This window comes from Homo sapiens, chromosome 8 (assembly GCF_000001405.40).
Source record: "Homo sapiens chromosome 8, GRCh38.p14 Primary Assembly".
Taxonomy (NCBI): domain Eukaryota; kingdom Metazoa; phylum Chordata; class Mammalia; order Primates; family Hominidae; genus Homo; species Homo sapiens.
In genome coordinates, this window is record NC_000008.11 from 32,024,021 (window position 1) to 32,042,608 (window position 18,588).

Here is an 18,588-nt window from a genome sequence, read left to right on the forward strand (position 1 = left end):
ACACTGGCTGCTGCCTCTTATCAATGGGTCTTTCAGGTCCTTTTTGGGAGCAATCCTGGGCTTCATTGCCCTGCCTAAACTGTAGTTTCCAAGCAGTTTCTCAGGCAGTTCCTGTTACATTCTGTGATCCTGCCTAATACAGTAATTTGATTCCAGTTGAAAACTTCCATTACATACATGTCTTGAATCGGGAGAGTTAGAGCCTTATACTTTGTTCCTCTGCAAAACTGTAAGAGCATCACTGCTGTATTAAAGGGAAGTGAGTGGAAAGTTGCAAAGTGAGCCTTTGAGTTCAAGAAAACAGATGAAAATGAGCCCAAGCCTTGGAACTACAGTTCTAAGTTTTGAGTGGTGGACAGAGTGGGAAACCACGTAGCATGCAAAGGGGAGCGGAAGGGCAGAGGAAGGAAGCAAGGCTACAGTGTTTGGCTGTGTTCTAATGTGCTCTGGCATGGAGTTATCGTGAGTGGAACTAATATTACATAACACTATGTATATTTTGGAAGATGGCTGGGAAATAGCCTTTGGAGCCAATGGAGATTTATTAAATAAAAATTACCTCAAGCTTGATTTTTCATCTTTACCAAGCACCATAGTAAATTGGCATCTCTGAGACTCCTGCGGGAGCCAGAAAGCTGGAATCAAAAATTCAGAAACATGAAATCAAGAAAGAACTGAAAATCTGAATGGAAAGCCAGTCACAAAAGAATAAGAAGTAAAATATTCTTTAATTATGTATTATCTCCTACAGATCAAAAGGAACTTTCCACCATTTCATTGAACCTGTGAGTGAAAATGATCCCAAAAGTATAGAGAAAATAAAGAACAGTAAGCAAATTAATTCAGTTTATATACTGTCTTTTAACCTGTTTAGAAAGAATTTGAGAATTGTTTGATCCTGATTATATAAAAAAGATATATCTGTATCTATGTCTACGTATATATTAATACATACAAATAAAATTTCTAGAAGGAAGAGTACACAATTAACAGTGGTTACTTCTGAAGAATGGGAATGGGATGTTGGAGGAGACAGATCTGTCACTTTTCATTTTATATTTCTCTGGTGAGATCAAGGGAGCATCTTACTTTGTAAATATTAAAAATGCTGAAATATGTAGGTTAAAATGTAATTAATCTACATTCCTATTTTTCAGAATTAATCTGACTTACCATCTGGTCATTTTTGCTTGCTTACATTTTTTCTTTTGCAAAACTCATTATGTTGTTTTGCTAAAAACAATTAAAACAATGCATCAAACTAGTAAGAAAAAAAAAGTCTCAAACCACAGAGAAAGACTCACAATTACCATTAGATACATAAAATTCTATGATATATTTCTTTGTACATTTCTGGATCAAATAATGGCAAGATGGATGAACTGATGGATAGATGGATATATAGACATGCATCGATGTAGGCAGACAGTAAGATCATAGTATAATTGATATTTTAATTTAACAGAAGGTTAAAACTGAAATTTTGCTTTTAGAGGAACTATTGACCTCAAATAAATGTTTTATTTTCACCTTAAGACGTATCTTTTTCTAAAAGATCCAAAGTTAACTTGAAAAACATGGAAGTCGATTTTTTTTTTTTTTTTTATTTTAACCTATCAAGCTCAATTGACTCCCTCTCATAAAAGTGGAGGCACAGTGGCTCACGCCTGTAATCCCCGCACTCTGGGAGGCCGAGGCGGGCGGATCACGAGGTCAGGAGATCGAGACCATCCTGGCTAACAAGGTGAAATCCCGTCTCTAGTAAAAAATACAAAAAATTAGCCGGGCCTGGTGGCGGGCGCCTGTAGTCCCAGCTACTCGGGGCTGAGGCAGGAGAATGGCGTGAACCCGGGAGGCGGAGCTTGCAGTGAGCCGAGATCCCGCCGCTGCATTACGGCCTGGCCGAGAGAGCGAGACTCCGTCTAAAAAAAAAAAAAAAAAAAGTGAAGATATTGCCACAGGTCTCAGGTCCTCTTTCCCTGCTTCACTTTCTATTAGTTTTATCAGTTAGGTTTACATTTACTAAGTTTAGAGCATATACAATCTTTTTTTCTTTTTTTTTTTTTGAGACGGAGTCTCGCTCTGTCGCCCAGGCTGGAGTGCAGCGGCAGGATCTCGACTCACTGCAAGCTCCGCCTACCAGATTCACGCCATTCTCCTGCCTCAGACCCCGGAGTAGCCGGGACTACAGGCGCCTGTGCAATCTCTATGGTAACCACATTTCCCAGTTGACTACTACCGGTAATAAAATCAAATGGATTCAGTGCTCACAACTCTTCAGTCTTTGGGCTACTTTCCATTCTTGAATTTTTAGCTGAATTCATCTCTTTGGCTGGATTTTGTGGTAAAGTAGTTTTTTGCTTATTTTTTCCCCCAAGAAGGGCTTACATGGGTCTTTTTCTATGAATTATTTTCCTACTTGACAATATTTACTTGTTACTTTTTTACTTTCATCATGCCTTGGGCGCATATAATACTCTCCCTTCACATTTTCTTTCCTTGAATTTGTGGAGAATTTTCCATTTTATTCTTGCAGTCAACTTTACTGAAAACAAATCTGAAATAAAATTAATGTTATTCTACCGTATAGGCGATTGGCTTTTTAGTCCCAAGATGCCTAAAAATAAGTTACCCTTAACACATAATAGCTTAACTTAGTTAGGTCTAGAAATTGAGGGTTTGTTTTGTACCACATTTTCTAGAAAGAGTGCTCCTTCAACCTAAAGATTTACTTAGCTTTTTTTCAGGAAATTTCTTGGATTAGATCTTAGAATAAATATTTATTTTCATTTGTTAAATTCTCTACTTCAGGAATATCTGTTAACATTGTGTTGGATTTTTTTGTTTAAAGTATTCACTTTTCTCTAATTGCTTTTATCTCCTTATCTGTTCATCTTCCTTCACTATAATTATCTTAATCCCCATTTCTCTGTATCAGTAACTTAATTTTCAATTGCATCCATTGTTTTTCTAATTTATGTATTAGTTTCATAAGGCTATTGTTTTGAGTTCTTTCCCCCTTATATCGGTACTCTCCTTTATCATCTAATTCTGTTATTCTATTATTTTGTCTTTGAATTTTGTTTTAGTGAACTTACATTCCTCTATTATATTACATTATATTAGAATTAGTAGTTTTGAGTAGGTTGGTTCATGAGTTTGTGAGTAGGGTAGTTTCAAGTAGGGTTGAGTAGTATTTTTATGTTTCTTGTGATAATTTTGCCAAACAATGAATATTTCTTTTTAGTATAAAGATGTCTCATGGAATATTTAGGACATGTATATGCTAAAATTTATTTGTTGCTTATATGAATTTCAAATTGAGCTGGGTGTCTCTATTTTTATATTTTAATTTGCTAAATCTGTATGTTTTTTATAAATTTCCTTCCTTCCCTCCTTCCTTCCTTCCTTCCTTCCTTCCTTCCTTCCTTCCTTCCTTCCTTCCTTCCCTCCCTCCCTCCCTCCCTAATCTAGGAGGATTTTATAGTTGCCATAGCGTTTTCTTTTCTTTTTGCTCATGCTTGTGTGTCCCTAAGATGCCAAGTTAGGTGGGATATATTGTAGGTGGCCTCTTGACTCTCTTCTCACCATACTGTTTGTTTTCTTTACTTAATATACAGTCTGAGAACTGAATTTACTTTCATGGATTATCTGTTTGTCTGTAATCTATGGGAATACTGGGTGATGAAGGCAGGGATCTAGTCTTAGATACTCTGCAGCCTTTTCTCTGTCTCCTAAGATATTTTTTCTGTGCAATGGGAGAGGGGTTTTTGTCCAATCCCCTGGGAAATACTATAAATGAATAATTTCTCAAATTTGCTGTGTATTCTTGAATCTTCACTCTCTTCAAAGAGACTTAAGCCACTATTTCATTCCGGGTAGGAGCAGCTAAACTAAACTAACAGAAAAGCTACAAATTACAGTGGCTTAAAAAACAAAGGACATTTTTCTTGCTTGGGTAAAGTTTCATTTATTTTTCCCTCTATTTCATTGCCATGACTTTTAGGGAGCAGTGACTTCTAAATTGTGGTTCTTAATCAACTAGAGTTTATAGTTTGTCTAACATTTTAAAAATATAATCAGTTTCTTTACTACTATTTTTATATTACTAATTCATTAATTTTCACCCAAATCTTTAAGAACATGGCTCTCATGGTTAGGGAAAGAAAATTGCGCAAAGGACTTGTGTCCATACCGTTTTTTTGGCCTCACTATTCCTGAATGTGGTTTCTTTCTTCTAATGACCAAACTTTAGGGGACTAGGACTGTGCATCTCAGAATTAAACTGGTATTTCTGATATGTATGGTTTATGGTTCAATGGAAAAATATAAGAATTTTTCAAATAATTTTCTGATTGTAAGGATGAATGTGACCTAATGTTAAAATGGCAGGACAGAAATATTAAAGAACTGAATGATGGCATCAGCTCAGCCATTTAGTATTTGATTTTGGACTTAGTTTCCTCATCTGTATAATAAGAGCTTTGCCTATGTATTTTTCCAAGACCATTTCAGGGTTTTGCATTATTTTATTTCATTTGGAATTAACATTCAGGTCATCTTATAGTAGTGTACTGAATAACTGAATGTTAAATGTCTTGCTAAAATAAATATTGGGTTGGTGAAGTTGAAGTTTTGGAATAATAGCTAAAATTAATAACTATAGATTTTAATTAATGATTTCATTCACTAACTTTCAAAAGTTAGACATTCAAAAACTGCAAGAAGAATATTTTTTCAAGATTATAAATTGCTAGATTCTTCCTGCAGTGGAAAGGGGAACATGAGATATTTGCAGTATTAAATAGATACTCACTTTCAATTGATACATTTAATAACATCACTAACCTTCCTATTCATAGTGAAATGAGTGATGAAAAAGTTTTTTAGTAAATATTTTTTACTGGAACAGAAATAATTTTGTAGCAGGATTCATAATTTGTGTATACTGATTTAAGAATATCATTACTTCCTGAAAGTGGCATTCATCTCTATGGGTAGTCATTTTAACAAGGTTTTTGTTAAAACCTTCCCCTTCATTAACACACTTTAGGAAAGTGTCTTCTAAGTCATTCTATCAAAGTCTGTTGCTTTCAAATTTGATTAAAGAAAACAAAGTATTATTTGCGTACCTCATTTTTCTCTAACACATTTTTCTTTGCATTTCTCATATTCTGGATTATGTGGGGATCAAATATGATTTAAATGTTATGCACAATTTTGTGGTTTTTCCTACTAATGAAATTTTGAGTTGCAAAGTTAACATTCTGCCATTGTTAATATATTCTTATTATAAAAAGACAAAATTTCAACACATTTCATTTAAAGATCTCAATTGGCTTTTACTTGCAATTCCAGAATCGGGCAGCCATTAGAACCAAAACAGTTCTGAGGAGCTCCCAGGCTGCAATGTGGTGCGAAATGTTTTATGGACAGAAAATGGAAATGAGGTGCAGAAATTGGAGGTGAGATTCAGAGATAGCTGATTGGTTACAGCTCAGCCTTTGCCTTGTTTGAACATGGTTTGAACAGTTGATTGACTGAAGCTAGGCTGCTGTGATTGGCTGATACTTTACTATTTGTTACAAAGGCAAATTCCTAATTTAAGCTTTCAAATTGTTTAAGTACTAAGTTAGGTTTTACTTTGTTACTTAGGACTCATATCGAGGTTTCTAAAGCCCACATCTGATACGATTTAACATTACCTATGTGAAGAATTACTAAGCAGAAACATTTTGAAAGCCTCATGACCTGAATCGTATTAAATACTTAACAATTGAATTTGTCTCAATAATAATTATGTTTAAAATTATGAATGCTGGTTTGTAAAAAAAAAAGCCACAAATTTTAAAATTCTGATATAATCTAATATCTGGTATTCAGCTTTGTATTATCATTTTAAAATTTAATGAACATCTCTGGACTCTAAATATTTTTCTTTTTAAAGTTATATAAAACATTCTCTTTATATTCATTATAACTATTAAACTATTTGCCTACTTATTTATATTGAAAGTCCTTAATATTTTTACAATAATTTAATAGGTTTCACAATCATCATTACTTATTATAGTTTATACTGTTTGAATAATAAATATATGTCTATACTATGACTCATTGATACATTTCAAAATACAGTGCACATAAGAAGATCTTCATTCTCTAGATCTGTCATACTACATATGTGAAAGTTAACATTTGTAGTGGCAGTGAATCCTAGGGGCAGCCTTGCATGTTAATGTTATGTGGTTGATTTGAGAGGATGGGGATCTGTGTAATCATATGATGACAATTTGGGTTTGGGAATCTCAGAAATGCCATCAGTATAGGAATATGGCTATTCTGCTCTTCCTAGGCTAAGAATAAACTTGAAGACAAAGAGTAGATTTTGGCCAGACACTGATGCTAAAGTCACCCCGATGCTGTCTTTGCTTCTAAGGTATAAATTACCTTATTTTAAGCAACTTTTTCACCTTTTCAACTCTATCCCTTTCCTCAGCCTCTTTCATATGTGAAATAAAATATTCACTTACTACTGAGGATGATTTTTTTTAAACCTATTAAAGAATACTCCATAGCTACAGAGGGGACCATATCCTTTAGAGACTCCGTTGGGGATGATCATATGCAGAATTATTCTTGTCCCTTTGCCTCTGCTTAATCCCCTTCACAAAGTCTGTGGCTCAAACAAATGAGAGTTGGCAGTACTAAAGGAATAAGTTCCCAGCATACGTCTGCCATGCTTTAGCATCATTTCAGATTAGAAGCATGGAGCAAAGGCAGGGAGACGGGTCAAACAAAATGCTGAGAGCTTCCCTCCTTTTAAAAAACAAAATTCTAGTCAGGGAATTATTTTTAAATAAAATGCAAGCCCCCAAGACATAAATAAACAGCCAGCATATAATACTAACAACTCAATGAAAGATACTTCCCCAGGTCAACTCATCTGGTAGGATCAGTTATTTTGTGTTACTGCATTGCCCCTCTAGCGGGATCATAGAAGACCCTAAAGGCTACAAGAAGAACTGCTTTCTGGCTCTCAAGTCATTTCAGTGGTTCCCTGATGGCAGCTGTCTCTTTGGGGAGGTGGTGCCGTGGTCTGTTTGGGGTTAGGCCATCAGCACAGGCCCCTTGTGCTAGCATCACATTGTCATAAGCTTTCTGCTACCATGGCTACCATCCATCACCAGGCTCTGTCTCCATGGGCAGCAGCCTCTGTGCCCAGGCCACCCCAGGACCTCAGGCCCATCTCTCTTTCCAAAGGTAGGTAGGTGGCCTTTTCCCATTCTTTAGTTTTTGACTTTGTATAACTGAAGCTTCTCCTGGGATGATGCAGGCAGCTGCTGCACAGTCACTCCAGACTTACTCTTCACTTTGTTGTTAGGCCCCTGCAGCTCGCTGCACGTGACTGGTGCCATCTGCCCTCCCCGCACGGGCAGCTGCCCCTCCCACACTGCCTATTTCCCCCTTTCTGCTTTTTGTAGCCACATGTCTAAAGATGGCAGGCCAGTCTCTGTGGTCTATTTTATGGGACTTTCATTTATAACTAGGCAGCAACCCACATTAGTTATTTATCCTGATGATCTCCCTCCTCTTGCCCCCCATGACAGGCCCCAGTGTGTGTTGTTCCCCTCCCTGTGTCCATGTGTTCTTATTGTTCAGCTCCTACTTATAAGTGAGAACGTGTGGTATTTGGTTTTCTGTTCCTGCATTAGTTTGCTGAGGATAATGGCTTCCAGCTCCATCCATGTCCCTGCAAAGGACATGATCTCATTCCTTTTAATGGCTGCATAGTATTCCATGGTGTATATGTAGCACATTTTCTTTATCCAGCCTATCATTGATGGGCATTTGGGTGGATTCCATGTCTTTGCTATCGTGACTAGTGCTGCAGTGAACATACACGTGCATGTATCTTTGTAATAAAATGATTTATATCTTGGGGGGTAGATACCCAGTAATGGGATTGCTGGGTCAAATGATATTTCTGGTTTTAGATATCACAACACCATCTTCCACAATGATTGAACTGGTTTACATTCCCACCAACATTGTAAAAGCATTCCTATTTCTCCCCAACTTGCCAGCACCTGTCATTTCTTGACTTTTTAATAATCTCCATTCTAATTGGCATGAGATAGTATCTCATTGTGGTTTTGATTTGCATTTCTCTAGTGATCAGTGAGGTTGAACTTTTTTCATATGTTTGTTAGCTGCATGAATGTCTTCTTTTTTTTTTCTTTTATTTTCTTTTTTTTGAGACAAAGTCTCACAGTGTCGTTCAGGCTGGAGTGGTGCAGTGGCACCATCTTAGCTCACCGCAATCTCCACCTTCCAGCTTCAAGCAATTCTCCTGCCTCAGCCTCCGAAGTAGCTGGGATTATAGGCACCTGCCACTATGCCCAGATACTTTTTTCGTATTTTTAGTAGAGATGGGGTTTCACCATATTAGCTAGGCTGATCTCAAGCTCCTGACCTCAGGTGATCCACCTGCCTCAGCCTCCCAAAGTGCTGGGGTTACAGGCATGAGCTGCCTCACTCAGCCATGAATATCTTCTTTTGAGAAGTGTCTGTTCATGTCCTTTGCCCACAATTGTATTGTTAGTTTTTTTCTTGTGAATGTGTTTAAGTTCCTTGTAGATTCTGGGTGTTAGACCTTTGTCAGATGGATAGATTGAAAAAATTTTCTCCCACTGTGTAGGTTACCTGTTCACTCTAATGAAAATTTCTTTTGCTGTGCAGAAGCTCTTTAGTTTAATTAGATCTCATTTTTAAATTTCTGCTTTTGTTGCAACTGCTGTTGGCAATTTTGTCATGAAATCTTTGTGCCCATGTCCTAAATGGTATTGCCTAGATTTTCTAGGGTTTTTATAGTTTTGGGGTTTACATGTAAGTCTTTATTCCATCTTGAGTTAATTTTTGTGTAAGGTGTAAGGAAGGGGTACAGTTTCAATTTTCTGCATATGGCTAGCCAGTTCTTCCAGCACCATTTATTAAGTAGGGTATCCTTTCCCCATTGCTTGTTTTTGTCAGGTTTGTCAAAGATCAGATGGTTGTGGATGTGCAGTCTATTTTTTTTTTTTTTTTTTTTGGAGACAGAGTCTCGCTCTTCTGCCCAGGCTGGAGTGCAGTGGCAGGATCTTGGCTCACTGCAAGCTCCACCTCCCGGGTTTACACCATTCTCCTGCCTCAGCCTCCCGAGTAGATGGGACTACAGGCACCCACCACCATGCCTGGAGATGTGCAGTCTTATTTCTGAGTTCTCTATTCTGTTCCATTGGTCTATGTGTCTGTTTTTGTACTAGTACCATGCTGTTTTGGTTACAGTAGCTTTGTAATATAGTTTGAAGTTGTATAGCATGATGCCTCCAGGTTTGCTCTTTTTGCTTAGGATAGTCTTGGCTGTATGAGCTCTTTTGTAGTTTTATATAAATTTTAAAGTAGTTTCTTCTAATTCTATGAAGAATGTCAATTGTATTTTAATGGAAATAGTATTGAATCTATAAATTACTTTGGGTGTTATGGCTATTTTCACAGTATTGATTCTTCCTATCCATGATTATGGAATGTTTTTCCATTTGTTTGTGTCCTCTCTTTTTTCCTTGAACATTGGTTTGTAGTTGTCCTTGAAGAGGTCCTTCACTTCCCTTGTTAGCTGTATTCCTAGATATTTTATTATCTTTATAGCAATTGTGAATAGGAGTTCATATTCATTATTTGGCTCTCTGCTTGTTATTGTTGGTGTATAGAATGCTTGTGACTTTTGCACATTGATTTTGTGTCCTGAGACTTTGCTGAAGTTGCCTATCAGCTTAAGAAGCTTTTGAGCTGAGACAATGGAGTTTTCCAGATATAGGGTCATGTCATCTACAGACAAAGACAATTTGACTTCCTTTCTTCCTATTTGAATATCACTTATTTCTTTCTCTTTGCCTGATTGCTCTGGCCATAACTTTGAATACTATGTTGAATAGGAGTGTTGAGAGATGGCTTCCTTGTCTTGTGTTGGTTTTCAAGGGGAATGATTCCAGCTTTTGCCTATTCAGTATGATATTGGCTGTAGGTTTGTTATAAATGGCTCTTATTATTTTGAGGTATGTTCCTTCAAAACCTAGTTTATTGAGAGTTTTTAACATGAAGGGATGTTGAATTTTATTGAAGGCCTTTTCTGCTTCTATTGAAATAATCATGTGGTTTTTGTCATTGGTTCTGTTTATGTGATGAATTATGTTTATTGATTTGCATATGTTGAACAAGCCTTGCATACCAACAATTAAGCCAACTTTATCATGGTGGATAAGCTTTTTGATGTACTGCTGGATTCAGTTTGCCAGTATTTTATTGAAAATTTTTGCATCAATGTTCATCAGGGTTATTGGCCTGAAGTTTTCTTTTTTTGCTGTTATCTCTTCCGGGTTTGGTATCAGGATGATGCTGCCCTCATGAAATGAGTTAGGGAGGAGTCCCTCTTTCAATTGTTTGGAATAGTTTCAGAAGAAAGTGTATCAGTTTCTCTTTGTACCTCTGATAGAATTCAGCTGTAGACCAGTCTATTCCTGGGCATTATTTGGTTGGTAGGCTATTTATTACTGCCTCAATTTCAGAGCTTGTTATTGGTCTACTCAAGAATTCAACTTCTTACTGGTTCAGTCTTGGGAGGGTGTATGTATCCAGGAATTTATGCATTTCTTCTAGATTTTCTAGTTTATTTGCATAGAGGTGTTAATAGTATCCTCTGATGGTTGTTTGTATTTCTGTGGGGTCAGTGGTGATATCCCTTTATCATTTTTCATTGTGTCTATTTGATTTTCTCTCTTTTCTTCTTTATTAGTCTAGCTAGTGGTCTATTTTTAATTTTTTTTTTCAAAAAAACAGCTCCTGGATTCATTGACTATTTTTAAAGGTTTTTTGTGTCTTTATTGCCTTCAGTTCTGCTCTGAGCTTGGTTATTTCTTGTCTTCTGCTAGCTTTGTGGTTTGTTTACTCTTGGTTCTCTAGATCCTTTAGTTGTGGTGTTAGGATGTCAATTTGAGATTTTTCTAGCTTTTCAATGTGGGCATTTAGTGGTATACATTTCCCTCTTAACACTGCTTTAGCTGTGTCCCAGATATTCTGATATGTTGTCTGTTTGTTCTCACTCATTTCAAAGAACTTCTTGATTTCTGCCTTAATTTCATTATCTACCCAGGTGTCATTCAGGAGCAGGTTGTTCAATTTCGATGTAGTTGTGTGGTTTTGAGTGAGTTTCTTGAGTTCTGATTTGATTGTGCTGTGGTCTAAGAGACTGTTTGTTGTTATTTCAGTTCTTTTGCATTTGCTGAGGAGTGATTTACTTTCAATTATTTGATCATTTTTAGAGTAAGTGACATGTGGCACCGAGAAGAATGTATATTCTGTTGTTTTGGGGTGGAGAGTTCTATCGATATCTATCAAGTCCACTTGATCCAGAGCTGAGTTCAAGTTCTGATTATCTTTGTTAATTTTCTGTCTTGATGATCTGCCTAATATTGACAGTGGGGTGTTAAAGTATCCCCACAATTATTGTGTGGGAGTCTAAGTCTCTTTGTATGTCTCAACTTGCTATATGAATCAGGGTGCTCCTGTATTGGGTGCATAAATATTTAGGATAGTTAACTTTTCTTGTTGTCCCCTTCACCATTATGTAATGCCTGCCCTTATTTGTCTTTTTTGATCTTTGTTGGTTTAAAGTCTGTTTTGTCAGAAACTAGGATTTCAACCCCTGCTTTTTTCTGTTTTCCACTTGCTTGGTAAATTTTCCTCCATCCCTTTATTTTGGGTCTCTGTGCAGCTTTACATGTGAGATGGGTCTCTTTAATACAGCACACTGATGAATCTTGACTCTTTATCCAGCTTTCCATTCTTTTAGTTGGGGCATTTAGCCCATTTACATTTAAGGGTAATATTGTTATGTGTGAATTTGATCCTGTCATTATGATGCTAGCTGGTTATTTGCAGACTTTTTTGATGAAGTTGCTTCATAGTGTCATTAGTCTGTGTACTCCACTGTGTTTTTATAGTGGCTGGTAACAGGTTTTCACTTCCATATTTAGTGCTTCCTTCAGGAACTCTTGCAAGGCAGGCCTGGTGGTGACAAACTCCCTCAGCATTTGCTTATCTGAAAAGGATTTTATTTCTCCTTTACTTATGAAGCTTAGTTTGACCAGATATGACATTGTAGGTTGGAAATTCTTTTCTTCAAGAATGTTGACTATTGCCCCAATCTCTTCTGGCTTTTTGGGTTTCTGCTGAGAGGTCTGCTGTTAGTCTGATGGGCTTTTCTTCATAAGTGACCTGGCCTTTTTCTCTGGCTACCTTTGACGTATTTTTCTTCATTTTGACATTGAAGAATCTAATGACTATGTGTCTTGGGGTTGTTCTTCTCATGGAGTATCTTACTGGGGTTCTCTGGATTTCCTGAGTTTAAATGTTGCCCTTTCTTGCTAGGTTGGGGAAGTTCTCCTGGGTGATACCCTAAAGTATATTTTCCAACTTGATTCTGTTCTTCCTGTTTCTTTCAGGTACCCCAGTCAGCGGTAGGTTCAGTCTTTTAACATAATCCCATAGTTCACAGAGGTTTTGTTCATTCCTTTTCATTCTTTTTTCTCTAATCTTGGCTGCCTGCTTTATTTCGGCAAGATAGTCTTCAAGCTCTGATATCCTTTTTTTCCACTTGGTCTATTCAGTTATTGATACTCGTGGTTGCATTGTGAAGTTCTCATGTTATGTTTTTTCAGCTCCATCAGGTCATTTCTGTCCTCTCTGAGCTGGTGATTTTGGTTAACAGCTCCTGTAATATTTTATCATGGTTCTTAGCTTCTTTGCAATGGATTAGGACATACTTCTTTAGCTCAGTGAAGTTTGTTATTACCCATCTTCTGAAGCCTACTTCTGTCAATTCATCCATCTCAGCCTCAGCTCAGTTCAGGGCCCTTACTGGAGATATGTTATGATCATTTGAAGGAGAAGAGGCACTCTGGCTTTTTGAGTTTTCAATGTTTTTGCATTGATTCTTTCTCATCTGCATGGGTTTATTTACCTTTGATCTTTGAGGCTGCTGACCTTTGGATGAGGTTTTTATGGGTTCTTTTTAATTGATATTGTTGTCCTGGCTTTCTGTTTGTTTTTCTTTTAGCAGTCAGGACCTTCTTACATAGGGCTGCAGCCATTTGCTGGGGGTCCACTTCAGACCCTATTCACCTGGGGTCCTCCCACACCTGGAGGAATCACCAGTGGAGGCTGCACAACAGCAAAGATGGCAGAGTGCTCCTTTTCCCCAAGAGGAGCACCAACCTGATGCTGGCCAGAGTGCTCCTGTATGAGGTGTATGGAGACCCCTGTTGGGAAGTCTCACCGACTCAGGAGGAACAGGATCAGGGACCCGCTTAAATAAACAGCCTGGCTTCCTCTTGGCGGAGAGGGTGTCCTGCACTCAGGAGAATCCGCCTCATCAGGGCTGCCCTGACTCTCCAGAGCTGGCAGGCAGAAAAGAGTAAGATTGTTGATTCACGATACCGCAGCCGCCCCTCCTCCTATGGGCTCCTTTCAGGGAGATCAGAGTTCTGTTCATAAACCCCTGGCTAGGGATGCTGAAAATCCCACAGGGAGGCCCCACGCAGGTAGGAGGAATGGGTCAAGGTTCTGCTTAAAGAAGCAGTCTGGCCAGGAACTGTCCACAGCTGCTGTGCTGCGCTGTGGGGAATTGCTCCCGTTCCAAACTGCCCAGTCTCGCTGGCACCTGCAGCAGGGAAAAACGGCTGACTGGAGCAGCAGTGGTGGTAGCCACCCCTTCCCCCACCGAACTCGGTCTTCTTAGGCTGTCTCCAACCTGCTACACTGGCTGACAGGGATTCCAAAGTGGGTTTCAGTTTGTAGGGTTCCAAGGGAGCAGGGCCGCTGAGCAAGGCCGCTTGGCTCCCTAGCTTCAGCCCCCTTCCCACAGGAGTGGACGGATCTCCTGCCTCCTTAGTTTTCCCAGAGCTAGAGTATGCAAAAACTCTTATGTCTCAGTGTCTGCCCAAGTGGTCGCCCACCTGAGCAGCCGCTGTGAGCCTGCACAGCTCTGTGTTTTGGACCCAAGGCCCTTGGTGGTGTGGGCTCACAAGGGCGTGGGTTGCAGAGATCCATGGGAAAAGCGTGCTTTTCAGAGCTGGGTAGCACAATACCTCACCAGCTTCCTCGGCTCAGAGAGGGAGCACCTTTTGCCGCACGCAGGCTCCGGGTGGGCCCTCGCTCCACCCTGCTTTTCCTCACTGTCTGTGGGTTGCGCCAACCATCTAGTCAGTCCCAATTAGAGAACCTGGGTACCTCAATTGAAGATGCAGAATTTACTTGCTCTTTTTGTTCTTGGTGGAAGCTGCAGACTGGAGCTGTTTCTATTTGGCCATCTTGGCTCAAGGTTCAGTTTGAGTTTCTGTTGCAGACACTGCAAGAAACAGAACCGAATGAACAAGAGATATGAAAGTATGTATCATGGCAATAACTGTTTCTGTTTATTTCTTATTTTGTTTTATTTTGCTTTCTAATAGAATTGGAGGAAATAGGAAGTATTTAAAAAGTGTTTAAATTTACCATCAATTATTCCTGTATAGTTCTCTATTTTTAAAAATATGCCCCCAAGTTTTGAAATTCTGATTCAATACGGACTTTGAAAGGATGTGAAATTTGGGAGCACGTATTGCTGTTACTAAGACTGGGGGCTGTGAGAGGGCTTGGTGTTCCCCCAAGCAGTCAGGCTTGCAGAGAGAATTTGTGTCCTGCTACGGTCTTTTGTAAAGGAAGCTAGCCCCACCTGTTGTTCAAATTCATTTTGCTTGCGTGAAAGAGGAATGCTGTCCCTGGAAACCTCTGTCCAAGTGCCTGTTTTTTCTGTTGTGGGCAGCATTGCAAAAGTGATCTGTATCCTCTCAGAAAAAGGAAAAAAAAATCACATCTAAAAATGTTCAATGTCATTACATTGAACACTGACCGGACAAGTAAGCTGGAACTGTATGGTTATATTCACAAATTCTGGGATGTTTGTTTTGGCTTTGTGTTATAATTGCAGCTACGAAACTAAAAGTGAACAAATTGCTTTCTCATTTAATTTCTTTTTATCATGTCTAAGTCTCAGTATTTTTATTTGTAGAATTGTGTTAATAATAATCCACAGGCTTACTATGAGGAATAAATCAGATACTGTACATAAAACAAATAGGATATTTGTTGACATATAGTATTCATTCACCAGATGCTTAATCTTTCCTTCCTCTTGTCTATGTTAGCCTGCGATTGTTATTCTAGTGTTGGTCTCAAATAACTTAAACTGTCATTAGAATTTTGCTTTAATTCATAGGGCCAATAGAGGAGGAGGCAATGGAAAAATCACTAGGTATGTTTGCTTAGTCTCTCAGATGCTATAGCACACAACTCTCAGAGACTTGGAAAAATGGAAACACAGAGATGTTGTTTTGTGTTTTGTTTTTGAGCACAGTTCTTATAGTAAATGTGAATGTTTACTATTATTTCTAGGGTTTATGATAAAAGATGGAAAAGAGAGGCTATACTGATGAACGTTGTCAACATGGGGGCTTGTCAGAAATTAAACAAACTTTTAAGAAAGTAATTGAATTTAACAAACATTATTGAGTACCTTATCTGGCCCAGGCATGGATCTTAACCTCAACTCCTCATCAAGGGTAGAAAGTAGACTCAGTCAATGCTAGGCATGGTGGTTCATGCCTGTTATTCCAGTGCTTTTGGAAGCCAAGGCAGGACGATCGCTTGAGACCAGGAGTTCGAGACCAGCCTGGGCCATAAACCAAGACCTTATCGCTACAAAATAGAAAAAAAAAAAATTAGCCGGAAATGGTGGTGTGTGAATGTAGTCCAAGCTACTTGGGGCTGAGGTGGGAGGATTGCTTGAACCGAAGAGTTTGAGCCTGCAGTGAGCCATTATCACACCACTGCACTCCAGCCTAGGTGACAGAGCCAGATCCTGTCTCAAAACCAGAAAACAACAAAACAAACAGACAAAAAACAGACTCTTTCTAGTCATGACTTTATTCCAGTGCTTACCACCTGGTCCTTGCCCTCAGAGTTCACAATAAAGGGATTCTGGTCTGGGAAGAAAGCAACTTTAAAGAATTTCTATCATCATTCTCATAATACCAATAAACTCCAAAAAAGAGCCTAAAGATTTTCAAATGACCTTCCTTAGAAGTTCTAGATCCTAGTTGATTACCTGAGCAACCATTTGCCTATGTGTATTTCAATTTAAATTGTCATAAACAGCTACTCAAGGAATTGATTAATCTGAATTCAAAAATAACTTTTATTTAGTGAAAGTCAAAGCACATTATTGTGTTTTAAAAAGTCAAATGTTGCCAACTCATGACTTAGTTAAGCCTGGAATATGAATGTGCAATTGAAGCAGACATTGGCTGTATGCACAATGCCTGCTGTTTTTCTTGCTGTTAGTCATTATATGTTATGTCCTTTGTCAGGTTGGAAACAAAAGATTAATTTCATTTGGTAGGCTTTTAAAAATGTGTTTGTCTGGTTGTGTGTGTGTGTGTATATGTATATATGCATATATACACATATATACACGTATGTATGTATATATATGTATGTATATATGTATATATGTATATACACACACACATATATAAATTTAGTTCTGAAATTTAGGCATATATATATATATATATATATATATGAAATTTAGGCGCATATATATATATATATATGCGCCTAAATTTCAGCACTAAATATTAAAGTTTAGGCTTAAAGTACCAAGATATTTTTTTCAGAGATGGATTATTTTAGCACTAAAATTCTTCTGAGCCTTCAGTATTGCTGAGCTTTATTTAGGAAATACTCAGTGATAGAAGATGAATGCAAAAAAAATTGATTAAAAACCGGAGCCTTAAAAATTGAATTCCCTTCTTACTGTTGATGTTCTTATATTATTTTGGTATCTACATAAATGATTATTTGAAAAAATTTCTGACATCTGATGATGTGTAACATGCCAAATTAATTTCCGAATGTTAAAAATCATTTTACTTATGGATAACTTCATTATGTAGAAGCTGACTATCTAATTTGTAATTATTTTTATAGAAAAATGGCAAGTAGAAGCTTATCATGGGTGAAGTTAACAACAAAAGGCTAAAATTTATTTGTCTCTCTTCAGTCTTTTTCTCTTCAGTCAAAGACAACTTACACACAACAAGATTTCTCCTTCTTAATTACTACATTTATTATGGTATTTACCCTGTTCAAAAAGCCTTAGTGAGGTTCCAGCTTTGAATAAGATAGAGTAAACATACTGTGCCCTGTCTGTCCTACTGAATACAACTATCAAACCTGGACAAAACACATGAATTATATTTTCAAGGACTCTGAAAAGTGAATTGTAGCAGACGGACTGAGAAAGACCAGACCTGAAAATAAAACAAAACCAGGCGTGAGTTTACCATGTTTATCCTCTGGAGGAACCCAGCTTTGACTTGGGAAGCTCAGAAGTAGACATCAACACAGGCAGGAAGAGCTTCACCTGGCAGTGACGGTGACAGCAGCTGAGGGTCCCCAGGTTTCTAAAGCTCTCAGGACGAGAAAGTAGGTCCCAAGATAAGGAGCCTAAAGGGCTTTTTTCTTTCTGTGTATTCCTTCTTGGCCTCCAACATGGGTACAGTCACAAGAGCATGTAACAGAGAAGAAGGAATAGACCTACCATTTTCTAGATAAAGAATTGGAAAGAGGATCCACAGGTAACCAAAAAGTACCAGGGAAATGGCAGAGAAGGAAAACCTCAGGAGACCAACCTCATAAGTGGTATTTATTAGTGCCTGGGCTCAAATCCAAATTGTACATGAATATGTCTGGTCCTAGATAGGGTACCGAAGACTTTGAAAGTGAATTTTGGTATATCATTGCCCAGATTCCAGACTGGCTATTGTGTGACACAACATACAGGATATATCTGAATAGTGCTCAGAAGAGTTTGAAAATGCAAATGATATTAAAATAAAGATGAAAAAGAGAAAGCTGGTCAGAACTTGTGGACATAACCCTTCTGGATCTGTTGCCTGATTAAAAAATAGTTGATATTCTCGAATGAATTAAAACAAGATTTAGAGACTGAGCATGGTAGCTCATTCTTGTAATCCAAGCACTTTGGGAGGGCAAGGCAAGAGAATTGCTTGCGGCCAGGAGTTTGAGACCAGCTTGGCCAACAGTGAGACCAGGTTGCTAGGAAAAAGAAAAAATAAAAAAATAAAAAGCTGGGCATAGTGGCATGTGCCTGTAGTCACAGCTACTTGGGAGGCTTAGGCAGGAGGATTACTTGAGCTGAGGATGTCGAGGCTGCAGTGAGCACATCACTGCACTCCAGCTTGGGTGATAGAGCAAGACCTAAAAATTAAAAAAAACAAAAAACAAGACTTAGAGTCTCATAATATTCAGTAAGTCTAGCATATAATGAAAAATTGCTCAGCATATGAAGAACTAGGAAAATTTCAACTTGCATGGGAAATCCAACCTACATTAACACTGAGATGACAGATCTTGGAATTACCTGACTGA

General features: G+C 38.1%; 1 protein-coding gene and 1 long non-coding RNA gene across 13 annotated transcripts in view; both read left to right on the forward strand.

The window, feature by feature from the left end:
• Positions 1-18,588, forward strand: part of NRG1 (neuregulin 1) — a 1,134,802-nt gene that overhangs the window by 384,776 nt on the left and 731,438 nt on the right. The window lies entirely within an intron of this gene.
• Positions 1,716-18,588, forward strand: part of NRG1-IT1 (NRG1 intronic transcript 1) — a 113,742-nt gene continuing 96,869 nt past the window's right edge. The window contains exons 1-3 of one of the 3 annotated variants that reach the window (NR_104156.1): positions 2,198-2,344; positions 5,359-5,465; positions 6,356-6,439. This is a non-coding gene — a long non-coding RNA (NRG1 intronic transcript 1). Of the gene's footprint in view, positions 1,745-2,197; positions 2,345-5,358; positions 5,466-6,355; positions 6,440-18,588 lie in introns of those variants that run through there. The other 2 variants (NR_104158.1, NR_104157.1) reach the window with 2 other exon arrangements.